The sequence below is a fragment of the Homo sapiens genome, chromosome 2 (genome assembly GCF_000001405.40).
Source record: "Homo sapiens chromosome 2, GRCh38.p14 Primary Assembly".
NCBI lineage: Eukaryota > Metazoa > Chordata > Mammalia > Primates > Hominidae > Homo > Homo sapiens.
In genome coordinates, this window is record NC_000002.12 from 5807517 (window position 1) to 5815684 (window position 8168).

General features: G+C 39.6%; 1 long non-coding RNA gene across 1 annotated transcript; it reads right to left on the bottom strand.

The window, feature by feature from the left end:
* Window positions 1-3119: 3119 nt before the first annotated feature.
* On the bottom strand, window positions 3120-5080 carry LINC01810 (long intergenic non-protein coding RNA 1810). Its single transcript, NR_146954.1, has 4 exons — window positions 5023-5080; window positions 4105-4268; window positions 3701-3756; window positions 3120-3257 (listed from the first exon to the last, which is right to left on the bottom strand). It is a non-coding gene; the product is annotated as a long intergenic non-protein coding RNA 1810 (long non-coding RNA).
* Between the last annotated feature and the right edge of the window lie 3088 nt (window positions 5081-8168).

Genomic DNA, 8168 nt, shown 5'->3' on the forward strand with positions numbered 1-8168 from the left:
AGCGGCCTACAAGGCTCCCTGTGATCCAGCCTCAGCAACCTGCCAGCCTCTGGGAATGTTGAGCTCCCTTTGCTGTTTCCTCTCTGACACTTGACTGTTTTCATTCCCTTGACTGGTGCCCACCAGCTGCTTCCTTCTGCGTCCCATGCATGACATGTGATTTCTTCCTGCCCATTCTTAGAAAGTGCTTCCCCAGATCGTGTATCTCTTCTCTAACCTTATGGAATCCTCCACATTTTTTTTTATCACACCATGTGGTTGTAAATGTGGGCTATACTGTTTGCCATTGTTTGCTTTGCGTTTAATTAAACTGTTAAATTCTAAGTCCCAGGTGGTGGGGACCAAGATAGTTTTATATTCCCAGGGCTTAGGAAGGTAATTGACACATAGCTGGGATGCAGACATCATTTCCCCACCAACTTTTAGCCTTACCTTGGTCAGTCTCTGCTGACTTTGGTAATTTCCAGTGGAGTCAGATTCTTAAGCTGGACTCTGGAGGAATTTGATGTCCACTGCTGCCCTGCTGTGTGAACTCAGTATCTGCCCCTCCATCCAACTCTGCCTGCCCCTGAGTTTAATGCACCAGGTCCTGACCACCTGTGCAAAGCTTCCATGCTGCTTGGCCATGGCCCAGCCTATCTCCATCTTCCCTGGCTTACTGCACAAGGTAACCTCGCCTGTAAGCAGGTCAGTCAAGGTACCGTGCACCACCTCCTCCTCTTGAGTGAAGGGCATTTTCCATCTTGACCTTTATTTCTTATCTGTGCCCTGAGAATTAGGTGAGAAATGGATAGCAGCCTAATCCTTCCTCTGCCAAGGAGGGTCCTCTCTTAAAAGTTTCCCAGTTTGCAGCTGAACTGATGAAGCTATAACTGGTGAAACTTCCTTTATCAGTGAGTAGATGGTCAACATTGAAACATATATCCTCGATATCTAATCTGCAGTCCATCAGGCATGCTTGTCCTGAGTTAGGAGAATGCAGTAAACGGTGAGAGATGTGACAGAATATTACAGCAACCAGAAAGAATGATGGCTACCTTTCAAGCACTTACTGTATTCTATGTGCTTTACATGTGATCTTGCCTTTGCTTTTCACAATAACCTCATAACATGGGGGATCATTCTCATTCACATCTTCCCACCAATAAAAGTAAGTATGAGAAGACACAGGGGACCCCAACCCACGGCCACTGACATGACAGGGTCTCATTCCTGTTCCATCTACACAGCAGGGAGCTCACCCTCAACCATAATGATGATGTGCAAATTAAAACCACACTGAAACCACCAGAGTGCAAAAATAAATTCAAGCGATACCAAATGTCAAGGAGGTTGTGTAACCATGGGAATTCTCTTACCTGCTATAGGTATAGCATGGCATGATCACACTGCAAGGCTGTCCTGACACTTCCTAGTAAAGTTGAGCTTCATAATTCCTCCCCTCACAGCCTGTCCTGGGAACTTTTACACACGTGCCAAAGAAACATGAACAAGGATGTTCATGGAAGCATTAATGGAAATATTTGATGGACTGTTGCATGAATGCATTGTGACACCATGGCCAAACAGGAAAACTACATGTCCTACATGTCAGGAAAACTGAAGGAACCCCAGCTGAGCATATCAGTGTGGATGAAGCTCAAACACACCATGTTGGCTAAAAGAGGTAAATTGCAGAGTAATACAAGTAGTACAGTCAATTGAGGAAAATGCAAAATTAAACAATAGATCAATTGGGGAGATAGTAGGATGGCAGATAGTAAAATTTTGAAGGAAAGCAAGAAATTTGAATTTACATTTGATGATGTGTCAACCTTTCTCTGAGGGGAAGTTAGAGTTTGCAACTGGGGAGTAGCACCAGGATGCTTCCAAATTATTGGTCATATTTCATTTCTCAAGCTCCGTGCTGGGTATTTCTCAAACTCTGGAGACTTAGTGTTCTTCTTCTTTTTCCTTTTTTTTTGAGATGGAGTTTCGCTCATGTTGCCCAGGCTGGAGTGCAATGATTCGATCTCGACTCATGGCAACCTCTGCCTCCCGGGTTCAAGCAATTCTCCTTCCTCAGCCTCCCAAGTTAGCTGGGATTACAGACGTGTGCCACCACACCTGGCTAATTTGGTATTTTTAGTAGACATGGGGTTTCACCATGTTGGTCAGGCTCATCTCCAACTGCTGACCTCAAGCGATCCATCTACCTCGGCCTCCCAAAGTGCTGAGATTACAGTGAGCCACCATGCCCATCAGTGTTCTTCTTAAATAATACATGTTATATGAACTATTTATCATGTGATAGTTTCTTATAAAAGTAAAAATTACAAAACCCCCAAAATGTAACTTCAGAAATGTATGCTATAGATGCTAGCATTTTTTATACCACAGAGAAATAAATTAACCAGCCCTGTTTTTCCATAATTTATAATATTCTGGCCAACTCCATCAAATAACAAGGCAGAATCTTCAGTTCCGTTGAAAATGATGAGAAATTCAATTCCACCACATTATAACACAGAAGAAAAACCTTCCTGTTTTTGTCCATTAGTGCTTCTATAACAAAATACCTGAAACTGGTAATTTATAAATAACAGAAATTTATTTCTCACAGTTGTGGAGGCTGGGAATTCCAAGTTCAGGGTGCTTGCAGGTCCCATGTCTAGAAAGTGCCTGTTCTCTGCCGACAAGATGGCACCTGGTTTCTGCCTCCTCAGCCGGGAGGAGTGCTGTGTCCTTGTGTGGCGTGGCAGAAGAGCAGAAGAGCAAGATAGGTGAACTGTCTCTGAAGCCTCTTTTATGGCATTGCTTTATTTATGAATGTGGAGTTCTCACGGTTTAGTCCTTCCCAGAAGGCCTTACCTCTTATTATTACAGTGCGGATGAAGTTTCATCATGAATTTTGGAGGGAACATGCTTTCAAACCACAGCACTGCCCCCTGACAAAAATCACAGAACCATAGACTTTCTGATTCAGAACAAATCTTAGTGTTCTTCTAGTCCAAGCTGATATGAAATATCAAACCAATAAATTCTATTTCTCTTCCTTTTGCATTTTTAATGTACCTCTAATAATTTGATCTTAGTTGACTTCTATATTAAATATGTTCACAGACTGATTAACATAATTTACCTTCATTCATTTAATCAACAATCATTTTCTCAATACTTATTATGTGTGAGGCATGGCCATTAGCCAATAGGACACCAAGATAAATAAGATTTGGGGCCAATCTTCAATTAGGTGACTGTGTAATGGAGAAAGCACACTGCAAAATAGAAATATGACAACATAATTTGTTAAAAGATGTGAGAGAAATGTCAGGTTCTCTGTGAGCACAAAGAAAGAGCACATGTACAATTGGGAGGATCAAGAAAGTCTTCCTGGAGGAGGAGGGCTTCCGATCTGGGTCTTGAAAGAGAAAAGAAGGAGTAGCAACTCACACGGAGAAGATAAATATAAAAACATTTCCTAAAAAGGGACTGGATCAGGAAAAAAAAATGAGACAAGAACATAGCATAATGTTTCCAGGAAATATCAAGTATTATCATTTTGCTGGAGAACATATTATTTTGTCAAGTTGTAGGAACAAAAAGGAGAAATCCAGAAGAATGTCTGGCCTTTATTTTGTCTCTGGGTATATAAGAATGACACCTGAGAGCTCTTAGCCTGAAATCAGGACACGGATTCACATCCCAATCTTTCACTTACACACTGTGTGTCCCTGGGCAAGTCCCTTGACATTCAGTGAATTCTATTTTCTCCATCTGTAAAATGAGGCAAAAAATACACAACTCCAGTGACCCTCTGGGTACCTAGCACAGTATCTGGCCCACAGCAAGATGAATTGTGAAGTTTAAATGGGGTAACAGACACAGAAGTATTTTGGTCAGTACATCGTGCAGGGATGAGTATTTGAATCGTGTGTTAGGATGACAGGGACTGTCCTTGCTGAGATGTGTATATGCCAACTTCTAGTGACAATGACCGCAGCAGGGGAAATACGGCTCCCTGAATGTGACCTAAATACACCATGCTGCTTAAACCCTGGTAGCAACAAAGGCAATTCCCTCAGCATAGAATATTCACAGTGAGATCAGGTAGGTTTTACTCACCTCACAGCCTTTGGTCTCCTCTTAACATCGCAGCCGTTCAAAAACTATGTGAAAAAAAAATTAACTCGGCCAGCGTGGTAAGCTGTCCTGGGCTGATTTGCCTGGTGGACTTGAATTGTTCAAATCAATTAACTCCAGCTGAGAAGTTCTCGTTACAATGTCACCTTCAAGTTAAATAATATCGAGAGTCTTTGTCCTGAACGGTTGGTGTTTCTTGTTCCTTTTTAACCTTGATTCTGAGTTCTTGTAAGATTCTAACACTTACTATTTTGGTAAGATAATGTGCCCTAATAACTCAATCAGGACTTGAATTAGTATACCTCTGCTTGCCAGACACTACACCAGGAGTTTTATAGACACTACTTTTAAGAGAATCTTCATAAAGATCTTAGGAAGTAGTTATTACTGCCCACATTACAAGATAAAGTCAGTGTGGCCCAGAGAGTTTGAGTAGTTTGCCCAGACACACTAGATCTCTAAAGGCAGGAATGAGGTTCAAAACCAGGTTAAGTAACTCATGTCCAGAGTTTTCTCCACTGTACACAAAGTCTCCAAAGTTCCAGGAGCACCAATAGATTTAACGAATTAATTGATGCAATCCCCTCGGATGTCATAATAGATAACTTTTTACTTTTAAAGCTGTTCCCAGCTGGGGTATCTTAACTTCCTGCTGATAGATAAGTGTCCCAAATGCATTGTCCCCAGTGGCAAAAGGTCCCTCCCGTGGGGTGTGACACACTCTCCTCTCAGCACTGCCAGGCTCCTGGGGTGGAGCACAGGCTGTGCACCCAGTCCACTTCACTCCTGAAGGGGACCCTGGAGAAGCTAAAAGGGACCTTGGAAGGCACCCTGGAGAAGCTGGAAGGGACCCTGGATAAGGAGGAGAGGGAGCGGGAGGAGGCATCCTTCCCAGGTTACCCCAGCTTGATCTTTTTGTTTTGGTGTTGCTGCTAGTTCTGAATCTTCAGCAACAGGCAATGTTGAGGAGTGCATCTCTCTCCAGGGCTCTGACTGCCTTGTTGTCATTGTTAACGTTTGGAGTTAGCCTCCATGTGTTCTAGAACATTGGATTATAAACTCATTTTGACATATCCAGACTAGGACACATTTCACATTTACATTTTAACCTACTGTCCACAAATGCAAACAAATATTTCTCTCTCTCGCACACACACACACACACACACACTCACACACACACACACGCACACAATCTTGCACCACACTCTAGTATTTTCTCTTTCACTCTCTTTTCTTCTATTGTACTTTATTTTATTTCATTCTAAGGAAGTCTGGTCACAACTCAGAAGATTGATTTCATCACCCCCTGGATCAGGACCTGAAGTATGGAAAATACTGCTCCAGAATAACTCAGAAACTCCTGAGTCTCTATGCATAGTTCAAATGAATCTCTGCCGTCCTTGAGGACACAGAGCCTGTGGAGGTTACTAGGGGCCTGCTTCTTGGTTCCCTTACACCCTGGCCAACTCAGTGTGATTTGCACACTAGGACTTGCTCGTCTGTACATGTCATTACCCCCATTCGACTAAGAATCTTTGAAAACCTAGCCTGGACATCATTGTGTTTATTGTATTCCAGATATATAATACATAAATAATATATATTGTAAATTCTATATATATAGCTCACATATACCTCATATGTATGTTATCTTCATGTATATCATATATAATCTCATATATAGTATATGTATCATATAGTATATATATCATATGTAGTATAGCATTATATATAGTATATATTATCATATATATGACAATATATACTTGTATATATAGTACATATGCAATATATAGTATATATTATCATATATGACTATATAGTATATTATGTATATATTTTTCATCTATATGAAAGTATACATACATATTTATATGCCATATATAATATACCCTATCACATATATTACATGTAATCACATAGCATATATAATCATCATATGTATATATTTATATAATATGCATAATGTATAGTCTACATGAGTACAACAGGAATATAGTACCCTTTCTCACTACTTTGTTTGTTTATACTTCTCCTTACCACAAACTCACACACTCCTTGACTTTCTTTCTTGCTTTATTTTTGTTTATAGAAATAATCAGCATCTAATATTACATATATTTGATTTACATTTTGCTTATTGGTTATCTTTTTCCATAGAATGCAAGCTATGAGAAACTTGAAGAAGTCAGAAGTTTTGCGTCTTCTACTCAGTACTCTACAGTGCCTGGCATATACTAGTAACTTAGTTACTGGCTGGATGAATGAATGAAGCAAAAAGTCAGTGTTTTTCCAGAATGGCGACTATTAACTCTTAGGCATTCACTACAAACTGGGAACTTGAGATTCAATCCGAGAATCTCCAGATGATTCTGTGGGGCTTGAGATTTCAGAGCAGTCCTGCTGAAAGAATCACACCCGAGCACACAGTAAAGGAGCCCATGTGGGTCTCAGCCAACTCTGCCTTCTGGGGGACAATGAAATTCATTAGGCACTAGTAGTGGCCATCTCTGGCACATTCTTGACCCATATTCTTTAGAGAAATTAAGGCTAGAATGACATCATTGCTAATAATATGAATACCCTTCAACCAATATTCTCGTAATATTTGCCCAATTGTTTTTAGATAAGTGCTATTTGAAAGAAGGACACAACAGTATTCGTGAAAGTATTAGAATAAAATAGTGTGAGCATTCTTATCTGCTTTTAAATGTAACTGGATCAGAACAGAGGTCATAATTTTGTTATGATAAATTCTTCCTTCCTCTTTCCATTGCTCTCTCTTTCTATTTATTCTCTCTTTTTTATACATCATTGCTCCATCACATATGTTGAGCATCTTAAGGAGAGCACAGTATAATGAGATAGAAAAGCAAGCACCTAGTACAGTTTGCTAAGTGTTATAATGGAGGTAAATAAAAGGTTAAAGACTGAGCTTGCTGCTTAGAAAATGAAAGGCTCTGTGTAAATAGCAAATCATTTTAATTTAATGTCCAGCCTTGCTGGGCTTTGGAACCCTAGAGACAGCCTGGAAAACAGAGGGAGGGATGATTTCATAAGGTTTATCGGATAAGGTAATGCACATATCCAATGCAGCATTTAAGGTTGTAATCATTTTGAGAATAAAAACAAACCTCTGCATTCTTCTTCTTTAAGCAAAAGTGCCCAAGTATGGGATATGGCAGGTGATATTGTAACTTTATTCTATTGATCAAATGCTTTGATCAATAGGTGGAAGATTGAAAAAAAGATCAATAGACACAAAGAGAATTTAAAACTCTGTTTATATAATCAATTGATTAAAGAAATTGATTTGAAAGATACAAGCAAAAGAAAAGGACTTAGACGTAAAGCAGGAAAAATATTTCATATCTTTAAGGAAGAAAGGTAAATGTGAATTGGGACATTTGGTTTACAATAAATATAAATAAAATAATAAATATAAATAAATAAATATGGAAAAGGCAAAATTACAAGTAGAGCTCAGGTTTTTAAAAAGACATGCTCTCAATAGACATGTAGGATATATTGTAAAAGCATGAATATTTTAATTGCCATTTCTTATTCGCTGGTGGCTGACGGTCAACATCTGGCAGTGAAAAAGTCTCTGAGTTTCGCTTTAGAAGATTATTTCAATCATGGTTCTTCAAAGCAATAGGAAACAACTCCTACTGATCCAAGCAGAAAGGGAATCTATTGATAGGGCATTGGATTGATAGCTTGCATCAATTACTCAGCCAACACAGCAACCTCATTTTTGCCCAGTTCCTCCAGTGTTTGGCCTCACCACAAACTCGTTAGTCATATTATTGCTGTTTCTTATGGAAACATTCCTCTCCCGGGGACCAACATCTTGACACCAACAGAACCTAGAGCAACAGGGTGTGGCATCCAATTTTTTTTTTGAGTGTATCATTGAGCATAATAATAAAGGTCCCCTTTCCATTTCCTAGAACCATGTGTGGGAGAAAGAGAATATTGTTTGTATAGGAGAGACCCTCTCCAACCTCACAAGGTTTTCAACTTCAGTCATTCATTCAAAT